This window comes from Homo sapiens, chromosome 7 (genome assembly GCF_000001405.40).
Source record: "Homo sapiens chromosome 7, GRCh38.p14 Primary Assembly".
Lineage (NCBI taxonomy): Eukaryota > Metazoa > Chordata > Mammalia > Primates > Hominidae > Homo > Homo sapiens.
Genome location: NC_000007.14, coordinates 112,245,429 through 112,263,388, shown reverse-complemented (window position 1 = coordinate 112,263,388; position 17,960 = coordinate 112,245,429). Strand labels below are relative to the sequence as shown.

At 37.0% G+C, this 17,960-nt stretch overlaps 1 protein-coding gene across 3 annotated transcripts in view, besides 1 other annotated feature; it reads right to left on the bottom strand.

The window, feature by feature from the left end:
• The window catches only part of ZNF277 (zinc finger protein 277), a 137,240-nt gene that overhangs the window by 80,546 nt on the left and 38,734 nt on the right, over positions 1-17,960 (bottom strand). The window lies entirely within an intron of this gene.
• Positions 10,213-10,794: an enhancer, noted in NCBI's record as "OCT4-NANOG hESC enhancer chr7:111892650-111893231 (GRCh37/hg19 assembly coordinates)". NCBI's record gives its function as "activates a minimal SCP1, AML or CMV promoter by ChIP-STARR-seq in primed H9 embryonic stem cells {active_cell/tissue: H9 hESC(primed)}" and the evidence as "EXISTENCE:reporter gene assay evidence [ECO:0000049][PMID:30033119]".

The following is a 17,960-nucleotide window of genomic DNA, read 5'->3' as shown; positions in this document are numbered from 1 at the left end:
GTTTTAAACTCATCCCAATGGGTCAGTGAGAACTCAATTCCATTACCACATTTCTGAATCATTGGCAACAGCCTCATTTAATGACTATACTGCCATAGCTAATGGGACCCAATCCCCATACACCCTCCTGCTTCTGACAGTTGGCCAGTCCCTAACCTCTACTAGTCTCAAAACCCTCAATAAGATCAGCAGTCTGCTTTATTCAGAAAGACTGTGCCTTACAAGTACGTATCTCCACTGTCCAACAACAGTAAATCCAGCTTTCTGTTTCACATATTGAGTAGAGGCCCTTCCTTGACAAAAAGGTTATACAAGGGTTACACTGCCAGTAAGAAATGGAGAGGACTGGCATCCATAAAGTCTGACTCCAGAGCCCAAGCTCATTATAGCTCATAATACACTCCCTGAGCAAATATCTTAACATTTGGATTACGATGGAGAAACCCTGGTTTTTCCCTCCTCCTCTTGACAGCAGGAATGTTGTTAATGAAATACAATATATATTTTATTACTGCTCTGTACTATTTTTATTATTTTTTTATGGACACTGTGAGTGTCTAAGTCCCTATGAAGTTAGGCAGTATTATATATCAACTTTTATAACCAAAAGTATCCATATTTCTAATTGGAACAAATATAAAATATAACTTCTTAAATGCTAAGCTTTGAAGAGTTTCTAAATAGGAAAAATGGCACATTTTTATACTATCAAGACAAAATATTTTTCTTAAAAATATGTAGCCCTCTATATTGTTTATAAAATATTCTGAGGGCAATGCTACAGAACAAACTTTTTGTCATAAATTACCTTTATTTATATATTTAACTTATTAGCCTTTAATATATCAATACAGAAAATAAATCATGTAAACCGTGTACTTTTTTCATAAATAAATAACTATGGCAAACAGACAATCCCTATAAAAATTGAATCTAAAAATACTGTTTGCTATAGGAACTTAAAGTACCAAGTTCTCTTTGTAATGACAATATCCCATACAGTGCTCTCTTTTTGGCTTGCATGCTGAGATTTAATATAAAGCTGAAAATTCCTAGCTAGCAGCTTGGCCATTTTAAGATCCATTAATCTGGGCAAGCAGTCTACACACGTGGCTCAATGATCTTTTTTTTTTTTTTTTTTGTATTGCTTTTTTAAATGTCTCAGTAATTTGGAAGATAGGGCATGAAGAAAGACGAAATCTATTGAGGCTGCGAAACTAGAAGGGCAGATTGTAGGAAGGAGGAGAGCTATTACATGCAGGCTGGCTGAGAGTAGTGAAAAGAACTCATTGTAGAGAAATAGAAAATAGTGAGTTAGGGAACACCAATTTCTATAGAAAATGAGTACACCCTAGGTACTCATATGCTACAAGACACTGAACAGAAGAATCAATGTTTAATAGAAGATAATACTCTAAACCTTTGGCAAAGTGCTTTAAAAACTAAACCATTCTGAAATGTTTAGTGCCTTGGTATAAGTCAAAAGATGTTACTTAAAAACCAATAATGAACTTTATTTGGAACAAATGGTAGTTCAGGTCACCTTGCTTTAAAAAAGTTTTCTATTATAGAATATTCAAGTGAAAGTGAGCTGAATGACACAAGAGCTTTGACTAGAGGCTTTGATATTCAAGAGGATTAAGCAAATGAGCAATGGTGTCTTTTAATGGAGACAAGATTATGAATAAATTCATAAAAACAGATACACTCCTAAATGGATCATAAAGGTTAAAAAATTTAAGAATTTGGGGTGAAATGTTATGTGGTGTGGTAGTATTTAGGGAAGAAGCAAGAAAATAAATTAGGGGAGAAGTTAACACCAAAAAAGGAGTATTTTTTCCATCATCAATTCCAGAGTTATCATTCTTTCCTCACAGAAAAAGCAAGAAATGATTGTCGATATAGGCTAAAATAAAATAATCAGTTTTCTTAATCTGAAAAACAAAAACATAATCAGAAAGTAGATAGAGCTAGGCATATGAAATGCCATCCATTGCATTTATGGGATGTAGCAAATTTATTTCTGAAATAAATAAGCTGAAAACCAAATTGTTGTATGTTAGGTAAAATGGACTTTAGAAAAGGTAAAAGGAGGGACAGTCTTCAAGTATGTACTTTACTACTGAAACTTCATTTCCATCACTTATGCACCTGGTTGAAGCTGATGACACCAGATAACCTATAGTACAAGGGAAGCCAAGTAAAGAATTAAAAGAATCTAACGCAGAGAATGATAGAGATCTATAGAGTTTATGAACTGACCAACGGCTGAAGTTTTTATGGTGGCTGGGATCTTCCCAAGCTGTCTGAGCAAACCCATAAACAGAACCACTGAAGCAAGATCTAATAGAAACTAATTAAGGGTTGGGTAACCTATTGTTGTGAGTTCTGATCTTTCTTTCTCACACACATTTCTGTGATTGGCTTTGAATGACATTAACAAATCTATCAAATCTTGGAAGAACTGTTAAGACTAAAAGAAAAATATCATAAATTTGTAAGAAGTGAACCTCAGATGAAAAACACAATCACTCAATGCTTTATTCATCTTGAAAGTCAGAAAAGGTAGCAGAGACACTAGAGTAGGCCCAACTATTTCTATCACCTGTGCTCTCCGCCTAGCCCACCTCCCACTCCTGATTTCATTCCCATTTTGCCCTAGTTTTAGGAAATTAATATGTTCCTTACACTCTGAAATGGAATTTGAAAATTAAAGTTTAACTGGTAACTAAGGCTTATCGCTTCCTAGAAATAACACCCTATAAGAGCAAGACTGAGGGGTTTATTCAAGAATATACGTTGATGTTACATAACGCTAGGAAAAAATTAGAAATGACTCAATACCCAACAATACTTAAATGAATTATAGAAATTAAGCAAGTCATTAAAATGTGTTTTGAGAGATTGAGTAGTATGGGAAAATACTCAGAACATATTGCTAAATGAAAAAATATAGAAAACCATATTTATAATATGATACTCATTTGTAAATAATATGTGACATATTTTTAAACAAAAGGAACTACCAAACAAAGCAATGAAAGCTAAACTGGAGAGGGTAAAGGAATTACTTTTGTCTTCTTCCTCCTTTTAATCTTTTTGGTGCTGTAGAAGCAGTTTTTTGAGACAGGGTCTCACTCCTATCACTAGGGTGGAGTGCAGTGGTGTGATCACGGCTCACTGCAGCCTCAACTTCCTGGGCTCAGGAGATTCTCCCATCTCAGCCTCCTGAGTAGCTAGGACCACAGGCGCACACCACCATGCCGGATAATTTTTGTATTTTTAGTAGAGACGGGGTTTTGCCATGTTGCCCAGGCTGGTCTCCAACTCCTGGACTCAAGCAATTCACCCGCGTTGACCTCTAAAAGTGCTGAGATTACAGGCGTGAGCCACTGTGCTGCCTGTAGCTTTTATACTTATATCTCAGGATGTTTACCTGATAGATGAACTTATCTACTTGTTAAATCTTATAACAGTTTTTCTCTCCTAATGTATTTGTATGTCAGTGATTGCTTAATTCACGTATCTGTTGATATGGTACCTGGGACACTGCACAAAATCCTTTTATTCCTTTCTAGAAAGAGCATGCTAGAGGCTGAAAGTCCAAAATAAGGACTACTCAGTTTGTATGAGCTGTTACTTTTGTGCATGCATTAACACATTTATAACTTTTCATCCTAATTTCTCTCATAAAGCCTTGAACATTAAAAATCTCTCCTAAAGCTGCCTTTTTCTTTCTTTCTTTCTTTCTTTTTAAATAAGTCTTTTGGACACTGCAAACAAAACTACGAAAAGCAAAGAGTTAATAAAACAAAGTCACTGGACGTGTCTCTGAAATTAAGCGCTCTTAAGTAACCTGTTTAGTGGTTAATTTAGAAAAGGCATCCTCTATTAAAGTAATAAAAAGAAATCTTCGGGAAGTATCTGCGGCTTAGGTTCTTTTCTATAGATTTGGGGGTCGTGGCACTCTACTACTACGTAATTTTTATTCCTAGATTTTACTCTTATGCTAATTAGTTAGGTGAGTGTTTTAAAGAGAAAACTGACTTTCCTTCTAATATTTGGAATATACTAGTAACAAAATCTCCATCAGTTAGGCTTTTACAATATACAACAGAGTAATACATCTTGACTCTGTTTAATTTATGCAAAAATATAAAAATTTATTGTATTTTATTTTATTATATTTGGGGGTAATGAAACAAAATCAGAACATCTGCTGGCATGTTAAATATCTTTCTAATTAAATCCAGCACTGAATGAATCAATTCATTAGCAACAAGCCTGGTTTATTACCTCATTAATACAGATGGTTAATATCAGTAAGGGAAGAAAAGAGAACTTCAAAAAGTACAAAAACAATTGCAAAGTGACATGGGTATCAGGGAGAATACTATTTGAAGCAAAGTATTAATAATTTAGCTTTTCAAAGATTAAAATGAAAATCAATTTGCTAACATGGAAAGGGGGACATTTATGAAGATATGTTTTGTTTTTTTTTAATGTCACAAAGGCAAATGGTAGCACGAGGGTAAATATGTAGACAAAAATGTTCATTGGAACCACAGAAAGAATTCTTTTGGTGCCAAAATAATAAAGCATGTTAAGAACAATTTAGAAGTTTATATATAAATGCTAAATAAGAAATTTTCCCCATAGATAAGATTATTTTAAACTTCCTATTTGCAGGCTTGCCCATCTTGACAAACAGCAATCACCCAATAAAAAAGTAAATTTTTAATTACTTAAAATTAACATCAACACATAGGAAAAATGATTAAAACATTTCATTTAGCCATAGGCCGCTTATTTGGAGAACTTAGTTTCATAATAGTAGCACAGTGCTAGGAACAGGGGTGCCAGATAGAATACAGCATGCCCAATTAAATTTGAATTTTAAATAACCAAAGAATACTTTTTTTTTTGGCGTAAGTACGTCCAAATACTGTATGGCTTTGCATAGTACAAGTATATTCTGTGCAGTAGTTAAGACATATACAAGGTATGTACTAAAAAAAAAAGAAGTGTTTATTTGAAATTCAAATATAATTTGACATCATCCCTTATTATCATTTGCTTAATCTAGTAATCCTAACTAGGAAGAAAGCAAAAAAAAAGGCTTCTGTATATTCATATTAGATGCTAAAATGTATTCAAATTAGATGCTAAAATTCATGCACTTACCTTGCAGAAGGCTCACTCTCTCAGGACCTACAAACTGGCAACTCTCACGCCAAATTTACCTCACTGATATATTTTATTTGCTAAGCAAAATATTTTAATTTCAATTAGTTACCATCATTAAAATGAATAGAGTAGACATAAAAAAATGATTTCATATTCTGGCTTAAAAAAATTTGCCAGCCTGGGTAACATAGCAAGATCCTGTCTCTACAAAGAAAAAAAATGTTAGCCAGGCCTGGTGGTGTGTCCTGCAGTCCTACCTACTTGGAAGGCTAAGGCTGGATGATCACTTGAGCCTAGGAGTTCGGGGTTGCTGTGAGTTACGAATGGGCCACTGCACCCCAGCCTGGGCAACAGAGCAAGACCCTGACTCTAAAAAAATTAAATAAAGTAAAATAAAATAATATAAATTAAAAATTAAAAATTTGAAAATTGTGATAACATTGGGAGTGATTTTCCACTTTTCAATAATCGGATCTAAATGGCTGCTTCCTTAGAGAAGGTATGTTATTGTTTGCCATGACCCTTACCACTCCCTATTACTCTAACATCAAGCTGAAGGTAGTAGTAAATTTAAAGTGGTCACGATTAAATAAAGTCTAATAACAACAGGTATTACTAATACCTAAAATCTACTAATGAAGTCTAATACCTGTTGTTTTTAGACATTATCTAATCTTATTTTCTATTCCACTTCCCTCATTTCTGTTACCTGGCAGGTCCCTTGCAGGCTCTGAGTTCATGACCTGACTTCTGCTATAAACATTCATTTTATACCCAGTTCTCTCTAGCACCCATTAAGATAGGGAGAGAAGTTGAAATACTGCTAAAGTCTATTTTTCCTGCCAGTTTTTAAGTTTGATGAAGGCAGGAAGCCTGTTTGTTTTGCTTATTCTTCTGGTTCTACCACCTAGCACAGTGTCCTGCACAAAGTAAATGCTGGGTAAATATTTGTTTAATTGTCACAAGGCAAGGAGAAGCAAGAATAACTATGGAAACAAAAACCAAAAATATACAGCAATTTAGAAATATCCGGTGTGGCGTCAGCAAGTAATATTGTATTGATTATGTTGATGGTCATCAATACACAATGTTTGTAGTCAGTGAAGTGTGTAATCCCATTGAAAAATAACTACTTAGCATAATAATCTTCAGAACTCTGGTAAACTCCTTATACAAAACTTTATATTTTCTGAGATGTTTCCAAATAAATTAAAGGTCATTATAATCCATTTCCCATGGAACAAACATAGAACTGTTTTGTATTTCCCAGTTCTAGCCACTTTTCCCCAGTGTTTTGAATTTTGGACGGGTATGAAAATGCAAAGAGAAGAAAGAAAAGAACAGATTTTCTATATGGTCTATTTCTAACAATTCTGAACAAAAATTATGGTACTAAACCTCTCAAGCATGCACAAAAACATTCTATCCCATTCCCCAGCTTTAAACTGTATTAATGTGGCCAGCACACTGGTTTACGCCTGTAATCCCAGCACTTTGGGAGGCTGAGGTGGGTATATCACCTGAGGTCAGGAGTTTGAGACCAGCCTGGCCAACATGGTGAAACCCCATCTCTACTAAAAATAAAAACATTAGCCAAGCATGGTGGTGCACATCTGTAATCCCAGCTACTCGCTAGGTTGAGGCAAGAGAATCACTTGAACCTGGGAGGTGGAGGTGAGCCACTTAGAGAGCAAAAGTGAGCCAAGATGGTGCCACTGCACTCTAGTCTGGGTGACAGAGTGAGACTCTTTCTCAAAAAAAAAAAAAAAAAAAAAAAAAACTCCAAAGAAGTTAATTAATGGACTTCCCTGGAGATGTTCTTAAATGGCTAACATACCCTTCCTCAAGAGTATAGTCTTCCTCTTGCTAGGTCCCTGGTAGGTGGTAACTTCAAGGGATTTTTCTTATTTCTATGTATAAGACATTCAGGAGATAAATTTGGGACACAAATAGCTGAATTTCAAAATTACTGATAGCTGAAAGAAAAGGACTAAATATTTCAAATCAAAATTATTTAGGAAAATCCATGATTTACGTGTGCCATGCCTATTATATGTAGAAATCTCTTATTCAATCATTCAAAAATTATTTATTGAAAACCTATGGTATGCTAAGCACCAAGCTAGGAGAGAGGACTAGAGAGATGAAGACATAGATTCTAGTCTCAAAGAATGGGTAGCAACACAAGCAATGATAATACATGGCATTTGTTTTAAATAAAGGTATGTGCAAGGTCGAGAGAAAATCCAGGGTGAGGAGAGCATCTAATCTGCCAAAGTGTAACAAGTCAATTATTTGAACCAAGACATAGGGGCAAGTACAAATACATAAAAGGAGCAAGTCCAGTGTGGAAAAGCAGGGCACTTCAAGGCGCATACGGAAGGAAGGCAGAGACTGCATATTCACAAAACTGAATGTTATTAGTATTCAGTGATTTGACTCCAATAAGGAAGCAATTGCAACAGCCCAGGTGAGATACAGTGAGGGTCTGAATTTGGGCAGTGATCCTCAAGAGGAAGGGGCACATGCCAGGTGCTTATTATATCAGGCTTCAGTGGGTAGCAGGAATTACTGTATTGTTACTGATTCCTTGGACTAACTGACATCTGGATTCCTGATCAAAGGATTCTTGCTTATCTTGATTTCTGAATCCTGTTTAGCTCTTTATATTATAGCCTGACATGTGGGATTTCAGGTCTGGCCAGACCACCAACAATGCAACTTCTTTAGGCTCTGTTACCACATCCTAGCATAGAGGTGGTTCAGCTTTTGTGGTGAACAGCAATTTTTAATACTTAACTTTAATACTGTCTCAGAGACTTAAATTTCTGCCTGGATCTTCAACTTCTGGATCCTACCTGCCTCTTAAAACTTTATGTGATAAAGTTAACTTGTGTCCTTTTTGCAATTCTCTATTATATCTGCTTCCTATTTTTTGCTAAGTCATAGTTTCCAAAAAAAATCACTTTTTTTACTGTATGCTTTTGATGTGTTTAAGCATAAAAAGAATGAAGTATTAACCACAAACAGAAAAAGCACTATTTAAAAGACTTCTTTCAAAAAGGTGAATATTTGTCAGCATCCACACAATTGAAATATATTAGCTTTCCATTTAAGAAACAAAAATAGAAAAAAACCACACACTTTTATAGTTGAAGTCATTACCTACTACTATAGAGTAAATGGCAATCACTTGTTTTTTTTGTTTGTTTGTTTGTTTTGTTTCTTTGAGACAGGATCTGGCTCTGTCACCCAGGCTGGAGTACAGTGGCGCGATCTCAGCTCACTGAAGCCTTGAACTCCCCTGGGCTCAAGCAATCCTCCCACCTCAGCCTTCAGAGTAGCTGGGACTACAAGCCCATGCCACCACGCCCGGCTAATTTTTAAACATTTTTTCTACAGGCGAGTTCTCACTATGTTGCCAAGGCTGGTCTTAAAATCCTGGGCTCAAGCAATCTTCCCGCTTTGGCCTCCCAAAGTGCTGTGATTACAGCCATGAGCCACCACACCTGATCTTAACTTGGCTTTTTCTTACACTTGTTAATAACAGATAAATAAGGATTAGGAAACACTTCTTTTCATTAGCTAATCTGACATTGTGTAATGCCATATTTATTTTAACACAAATTGTTATTCAGCTAATATTTCATAGCATAAATAAACTTAGAGGCCATAAAAAACAAACAGAACATTAATTTCCAATCATGTCAACACAACCCCAGACACACACACAAACTGGATGTGATGTTGTTGCCTACTACAGCACTGCCTATCCTGTACACCAGTGGTTCCTGAATTGTATCACACATTTGAATCACCTGGAGGACTCGTTTAAACAGAGTATTGGGCTCCATTCCCAGAGTTGCTGATTCAGTAGGTTTGGAGTATGGCATGTAAATTAGCAACACTAACAAGTTCCCAGGTGATGCTGATGCTGCTGGGGAACCATATTTTGAGAACCATGGCTGTATACCAACATGTGATATGAATGTGGGGAAGAAGATGGTGTCTCAAATGTGGTTTATTGCTTTCTGAAAAGCTTCTCTAAATTAAAGATTCAATGCTAGTTAGACAGTTTAGAAAGTTAAGTCTTGATCATGAGAGAGATTCCAAAATACTGATTTCTTTTAAGGAAAGAAAATAGTGTTTCATGGCTATTTTAACAGAGATGCTCTGTGGGAGAGCTTAAGATGTTGCAGTTTCATTAGCATTATCCAGTGTTGCTATGGGGACAAACTAGAAAGAAGTCATCAGTACACAAGTGAATGAAAAGAGGAGAACTGATGAATAATAATAATGATGATAAAAGAACTTTAGCATTTCTGAGAAAATAAAGCAAAGTCACATTGTACAGTTTCTGGTATTTCTGTAAATTAAGGTACAAATTATCATTTAATAATAAGAGATGATCATATATAGATCTCTCCATCTTTAGAAGATGCATAATCTCCTTGCAATTCAGGGAAGAAAACAAAAACATCTTTTTGAAAGGATGAGAAGGAAAAGTGGCAGAAATAACATTGCAGGATTTTATTATGTACAATAAGGCATGATGGCCCTGAGGCTGGGGGCTACATGGGAAGGATGAGCTATTTGCCCAACTGGATATGGGGGACAGAGGGCTCAAGTAGGTAAAAAAATATAGTTCAGGAGATGAGGAATGGAGAAAGGTAGGTGAATGGCCTGCTCTCAGTTTTTCAAATAATGAAATTAAGAAGAGTCAGAGAGAGAGAAAAATAACATGAGAGGTAGATTTCAACAGGTTGGGTAGCAAGTATCGTTAGAAATTGCTTTTAGTGACACGTGGTTGTATGCATCAGTTTGCTTATGGTTTGTAACGATACTTATATTAGAATTTTAGACTCAACGTTAGCAAATGAAAATGCCATCTCCATGGAAGTTTCTCCAAATTTCCCATTTCAAATTTCAGTTCTTTGATTTTAGAAGAAAATCTAACAGGAAAATTCTTAAATTATTATATTTAGACAACAGAGGACCAAGATTTACCACACCCGATATTTGATGTTGAATGCCTAGCAATACAGTCTTCAAAATAACTCCCTTTTGAAGCCTTTTCCATTACAACCTCCTCTTTGAAGATGTCAAAATCCTATTTACCTTTTCCCTGCGCATTCCTTGTTAAACATACCTGCTTATCAAATCCATTCACAGACACTACTTATCAAACCATATTGTGATTTGCCTGTTTATAGGCCTGCTTCCTCTCTGTGACTTTCTCAAGGACAAAAGCCTTGGTTTATTCATCGTTCTATCCTCAGTAGGTGGCCCAGTTCCTAAGACACTACATCTAGGTTCTTAGGGAATACTCTTTGGTTTGTTTCTTTGTTTATTTACTCACTGACTATACAAAGCCTGAAATGCTGAGTATCTTTTGTTTCTTTTACTGGATCTCATGGTCAGGATTTCACCATATGTTGTCACCGCACTTCAATATAAAGGTCTAATCACTTTCATCTGATGAGGGTACTTCATTACTACTTTTCAGATAAGGAAACAGAAGCAGGGAGCTATCAGATGTTTAGTTTCAGGCCCAAGGATATCACTGGTAAATTATATTGTATGCCCCCAGATTCCAGGTTTGTTGATTCTACCCAGTAGAATTCCTTTTCAGGAATTGGGCAAAGTTATTTTTATCCTAGCGACATCACGGGTATATATGTATAAAGTACCTTTTAGCCAGAAAAGAGTTTTGTTTCTTTTTAAGTTTTTCTTCTTTCTGTCTCAGTGACTCAAGAAAACCACAGCTCTACCCTTGTACCGCACACAGAAAAAATATTGTGCTATCCTGCTCCATTCATTCACTCTTTTAACAAAATGCTTAAAGAACAACGGGGCTCTATGGTGACAAAGGCACTTTATTCTCAGTTCAGTATTCCACTCAGCAGCCTTGTTTTTCTACTTCTTAATTGCAATAAGCTACCCTCTTGCATCTCAAATGTAGTTGTAATCCAAAGGAAATAAGCAAATCAATGGAACTTTCATTAACTGTATACTTCTTAAATAATGTAGTAAGAAAAACATAAATAATGGGGCTTTGCTATACATGTAGTTCAGTAAAATGTACCAGTTCACATATTGTGCATCAGTGTAAAAAAGTTAGGCCAAAAGGCATAAATGGGATTGAGAAGTTATGTCACAAGACTGGGTGAGTCTCACAAAAAACTGATAATTGAAGTGGCATTCCTGAAAAATCTATCCTCCTTACTTGCTGCTAATGCATGATATCATATCTTTATCAATCCATTCCTTTGTGTTATGTACCACACTCTCTTATAAGCTGTCTTTAAAAATGAGAGATATTACTGAGAGAGGCAGTGCTTGTGTCACTTAAAATCTCAGTATGAATTTCATAGATCTATAAAATGAAATTTAAAAATGAATCAATCAACAGAATACATCCCCTTTGCTTGGCACTGCACTTCAATACAAAGGCCTAATCACTCTTTCATCTGAAGAATTTAATACCTCATTACTACTTTTCAGATAAGGACACAGAAGAAGGGAGCTATCAAATATTTAGTCTCAGGTCCAAGGGTATCACTAGTAAAGAATATTGCAGGTCCCCAGATTCTAGGTTTGTTGATTCTATCTAGAATCCTTCCCCATTGGGGAAAAGAAAGATAACTAATTTCAAGGAGCTTCCAGTGTAATTTATGAGACAAAACATATACATATAAAACAAAAATGCAAGTAACAGTATTTCATTTGACTGAGTAACACATGAGTTGGTATTATTATTAGAGAGCAACATTTCTCAAACACTTTTTTAAGTTATGGAACTCTCTCCAAATTATCTCACATAAAATCCCATTATATAAAATCTGTACGAGCAGAAACTTTTTGGTTAAAGAGGGTACAGGGAGTCTTCAGTGTGCCATCTGTGCCAACTGTCCTTCATCCCCAATGAGGCTCCTTGGATCTTAGGCATCTCTGGGATTAGAGTTAAAAATCATTAAATTTAGCACATAAACATGCAGCAAACTGAGAAGAGAAAAATTCACTCTGGGTCTGACAAGTAGAGGGAAGTTCCAAGTGTGGATTCTTCCTCAAGTTGGTTTTTGAAGGCTAGGCAGGATTTATATGATTGGAAGAGAGGAAGAAACAAGAAATGCAAAGAAAAAGGACCTGAGGAATATGAAGGTTAGTGAGAAATAAAGGTGGGTGGAAATTATAAGCTAGAAAAGTAGGCATAAAAGTTGATATTTGTTGAAAAAGAAAACAGGAGGCACTAGGTTTTAAAACTTGGGAATGATGTGCTGACAGCCGACTTGAAGAAGGGAGACTGGTAGAAGATGCAAAATGATTTGGATAAAAATTAATGTTTATTGGTGAGAGGGACACTCATTTTGCAACTCACACCAACATTCTTAGCAAGACTTCCACCACTTGGGAGGGTTGGGGAGGAAGCTTTTCTATCTCTTTGTTCACCTCTCCCCACAAGAGGAGCAGAGGTTAAAAAATAAAACATTATCAGGGCAGGGTGCCTGAAAACACTACTCTCAACTATCGGGGAACCTGCCCCGATATTCATGTAGGTTCTTTTCTATTTTCCTGAAGCGTTGGCCAGCTTGAGAAATAAAGGGACAGAGTACAAAAGAGAGAAATTTTAAAGCCGGGCATCCGGGGGAGACATCACATGTCGGTAGGTTCTGTGATGCCCCACAAACTGCAAAAACCAGCAAGTTTTTATTAGGGAGTTTCAAAAAGGGAGGGAGTGTGCGAATAGGTGTGGGTCACAGACATCAAGTACTTTACAAGGTAATAGAATATCACAAGGCAAGTGGAGGCAGGGCGAGATCACAGGACCACAGGACCGAGGCTAAATTAAAATTGCTAATGAAGTTCCGGGCACCACTGTCATTGATAACATCTTATCAGGAGACAGGGTTTTGAGATCAACCCGTCTGACCAAAATTTATTAGGCGGGAATTTCCTCTTCCTAATAAGCCTGGGAGCGCTATGGGAGACTGGAGTCTATTTCATCTCTGCAGTCTCGACCATAAGAGTTGAGACTAAACGCCCGGGGGGCCAGGTTAGAGACCTACCCCCAGGTGCACATTCTCTTTCTCAGGGATGTTCCATGCTGAGAAAAAGAATTCAGCGATATTTCTCCCATTTGCTTTTGAAAGAAGAGAAATATGGCTCTGTTCCGCCCGGCTCACCGGCGGTCAGAGTTTAAGGTTATCTCTCTTATTCCCTGAACAATTGCTGTTATCCTGTTCTTTTTTTAAGGAGCCCACATTTCATATTGCTCAAACACACATGCTGTACAATTTGTGCAGTTAATGAAATTATTACAGGGTCCTGAGGCGATATACATCCTCCTCAGTTGACAGGATTGAGAGATTAAAGTAAAGACAGGCATAGGAAATCACAAGGGTATTGACTGGGGAAGTGATAAGTGTCCATGAAATCTTTACAATTTATGTTTAGAGATTGCAGTAAAGACAGGCATAAGAAATTACAAAAGTATTAATTTGGGGAACTAATAAATGTCCATGAAATCTTCACAATCTACGTTCTTCTGCCATGGCTTCAGCCGGTCCCTCCATTTGGGGTCCCTGACTTCCCGCAATACTCAACTCTGTCTCCTATTTCCTTCTCTTTGACCACCTGTGCTTGAACACATCATCCAGGTACCTCTTTTTCAGGACTCTCTCCTGCTTTCTACTATCAACTAAGTTTGCAAAGCTATTCTTACACAGCTATCTGGTTTAAGTATCTACTAAGCAGACCTCTCTCTTCCAATCCCCGAGGCATGAAAGGGATCAAATGGCTCATTTAACACAGTACAAAGTCACATCTACTAACAGTTTAAGAGGGAACCCCTAATTTTGAGTATTAAAGCCAATATTTTATTACTTATTTTGTTCATTGGACCTATGTATTTATTGGTTAAAACACAAAAGGGAAAAGATCAGTAATGAAGTGCCCTCCTGCCTCAGCCCATCCTGGCAACATAAAATTGCTTTAGACAGAAAACTGTGGAGATTCCAAGGCTTTAGCTAGAAGGACTCAAACAGCTCAGAACAGTTGAACCTCTGGTCTGTCAATGTTAGGATGACAGTTTTTGGACCACAACTAGTATTACCCATGAGTGAGAAAAGAATGTGAAGTCAAGTCTAGACATGTAGAATTTGGAGTTAACAGTACAGGCTAGCGAGCACACAAAAGAATCAACAGGATGGAAGTAACAGGCAGAACCAACAGCACAGATAACTTGGTAAGAAAAGATACATCAATCCAGATTGTGTTTTATAAGGCAAATTTCTTCCATGAAGAGAAGTCCCTGGAGAGAAAAAGTAAGAAGGTGTCCCATGTGCAAGATGGAAAAGAAGAGCTAAGAATTCAGGGAACATTAAATAGTCACCAAAAATGATGACTATCATTTTTGAATGTATAGTTAAATGTACGAAGATATATGCGATTAAGCCTAAAACAATCAGACTAGGAAACAGAATTTATGGAATGATCCTACTAAAAAAATGCATATATACACATATAAACATCATACATGTTTATACATACATATACAGAAAAGTGTGGAAGAATAGATACTAAAAGATTAACAGTGATTATCTCTTGGTGGTAGATTTATAGAGTAATTTTCTTCCCTTTTCCTTTATACTTTCTAGTGTTACATAATTTCATTTATTGATGTGTTATTATAAATGCATTATTATAATTGGAAAAATTAAAGCTCTGTTTAAATCTCTATTTTAGTTGTTTTATGATTCTGTTTTTCCCCCTTTGTTTTAGCACTTGTTCATTCTTCTGACCCTTAATTGAGCTTCCTGAGATTTTAATGCTGTTCTCTTTATGAAAAAAAAAAAATAAAACCAACCAAATATAAGAACTGCCCCCCTCAACCCCCACCCCCTATTCAGAGCCACATCCACTCTCCCAGATGAGCCAGTCTCTATCTGCAGTCATGATCAACAGGCATATCCTAAGACTACCTGCATGTACTGCAGTCATCTTGGAAATACATTAAATTTTCTTATGTCCCTGACAACCAGAAACACAGATTCTTGATTTCACACTTTTCACAAAAGATAAATCATTACCCAACTCTCCAAGGTGGAAATTAAACTTCTACATCATTTACCTTCTTCTGTATTTGTCCACTGACACCTATTGAGTACCCAAAAAGTATAAGGCCTAATTTGAGGCTTTTAAAATCCAAGGTCTCATAAAGTCTTTTTTTTTTTTTGAGATGGAGTTTCATCTTGTTGCCCAGGCTAGAGTGCAATGGCATGGTCTTGGCTCACTGTGATCTCTGCCTCCTGGGTTCAAGTGACTCTCCTGCCTCAGCCCCCCAAGTAGCTGAGATTACAGGCGCCCGCAACCATGCCTGGCTAATTTTTGTATTTTTAGTAGAGACAGGGTCTCACCACATTGGCCAGGCTGGTCTCGAACTCCTGACCTCAGGTGATCCACCCACCTCCACTTCCCAAAGTGGTGGGATTACAGGCATGAGCATCCGTGCCTGGATGCCTATTATGTTACAATCTCAAAGACTCTCTAATTCTAAATTATAATAAATTAAAAAAACATTTAGTCATATAACATGATAGGTGCTCAATGATTCAACATGTATCTCTTAGATTTGTCTGTCTTCTATTTCCAACTTCACATCTTCTTTGCCTCACACCAATATTATTTCCAAAACATTCTAGCTTATTATTCATTTCTGAGAATTCCAACACTCTAAGCTTGAATTCATCCTGCCTTTATGTTACTCTCAGACTAATCTTCCTAATACAATTTGCTCATGTCAATCTGCTATCTCAAAATTTTATAGCTGCACCGTATTCCATCATGTTTGAACTTTTCTGCACCTATTTTAATCTACCCTAGCTAATGTTGACCAAAAGGAAGAAACGGAGACAAAAATGAATACAAGTAGAGAGCTCATTTGGGCCAAACTTGAAGACTGCAACCCAGGAGCACAGATTTAAGTTGCCCTGAATATACCCTCCACTTAGCGGCAATTACAAGTGGATTTTTAAAGGCAAAAAAGGGGGACAGGGAGTGGACTGATACAAAGTTGTTTGTCAGGAATTCTCACTGGCTTATACAAAAACATTGATTAGTGATTGGTTATACATTGCTAAACTATAGGGTATGGGTTACAGTGTGCAATGTGGCATTATTAGGTTAATTTGTAGGTACTTGTGGCAAGAGCAAGCAGTTTCAAGAGATGAATACATAACTCAAAGCAGGTAGCAGGGCATGACTGCAGTCTCATTTAAATGTCTCTCTGGGGCCTAATAATTAAAACGACTTGCATTCCTAAGATAAATGTTCTTTTTCTTTCCTCACTAACCAAAATAGTTTGCTCTGCCTTTCTAATAGTCATTCATTAAATCAGCATTTATTCAGTGCTTACTGTATGCCAAGCATTTGGATGGACACTGAAGGTACCAAGGAGAACAAGACAGAAAAGTCCTGCTTCCACATAAATCTGCTCCAGTCAGTGTCTTCACTGGCTATGTCTTCCATACAAACTGATGCTCCACACAGACTCCAAACTCACCATGCTTCCTCCTCATTTGCAATGCCTTTCTTTACTATGCATCATCCAATCTCAAATGAGGTCCAAATCCTAGGTCCTCTAGAACTGGCTCTCTTAGGTCCTCAAAGGCTTTTCTTCTCATCTTCCATTTACTTTTGGACTGCTCCCCTTAGTACTCAGTTATAATATCAAATTTCCTATTAAGCTCTTTGTGGACAAATATTGCCATATACTTACCTTGGTTGGGTTTTGTTTTGTTTGTTTGTTTTTGAGATAGGGTCTTGCTCTGTCGCGAGGCTGGAGTGCAGTGGCATGATCACGGCTCACTGCAGCCTCGACCTCCTAGGCTCAAATGATTGTCCCACCTCAGCTTTCTATTTCTGAGTAGCTGGGACTATAGGTGTGTACCATCATGCCTGGCTAATTTTTTTTTGTATCTTTTGTAGGGATGGGGTGTTGCCATGTTGCCCGGGCTGGTCTCAAACTCCTGGGCTCAAGCAATCCTCCCACCTCAGCCTCCCAAAATAGTAAGATTACAGGTATGAGCCACTGTACTCGGCCTTACCTTTTATACCAATGTAGTTCCTGGGCCATTATATTTTTGAGAACTACCTGGACATTCTTTAGTGACAGTGTAAGGGGCAAAGAAGGAAAACAGAAGACTTTCCCTTCCTTACGTTGTGGAACCATGCTTATCAAAGGAAGAAGGTGAGTGTCCCAGTTTTGGATACTCTGACATTGGCTATTATAAGATATCCAGTGATATGTGCTGAATTGTGTCTCCGTAAAAAGATAGGATGTCCCAACCCACTGTATTCAGAATATGACCTTATTTGGAAACAAGGTCTCTACAGAGGTAATCAAGTAAAAATGAGGCCATTGGAGGTCATAATCCAATATGACTGATATCCTTACAAAAAGGAAAAATTTGGACACAGAGACACACACATAAAGGAGAACACCATGTAAAGGTGACAGCAGAGGTTGGGATAATACATTAAGGAATGCCAAAGGTTGCCGGAAAGTCACCAGAAGGTAGGAGAGGGGTATTGAACTTATTCTCCCTCACAGTCGAGAAGAAACCAATCCTGCTGACACCTTGATCTCAGACTACCAGCCTCCAGAATTGTGAGGCTAGATCACAAAACCTTTGTGTTTATGACATAGTTTATGACACTATGCTATGACATAGCATAGAAAACGAACGTATCCACAACAACCATGGAATGGAGCT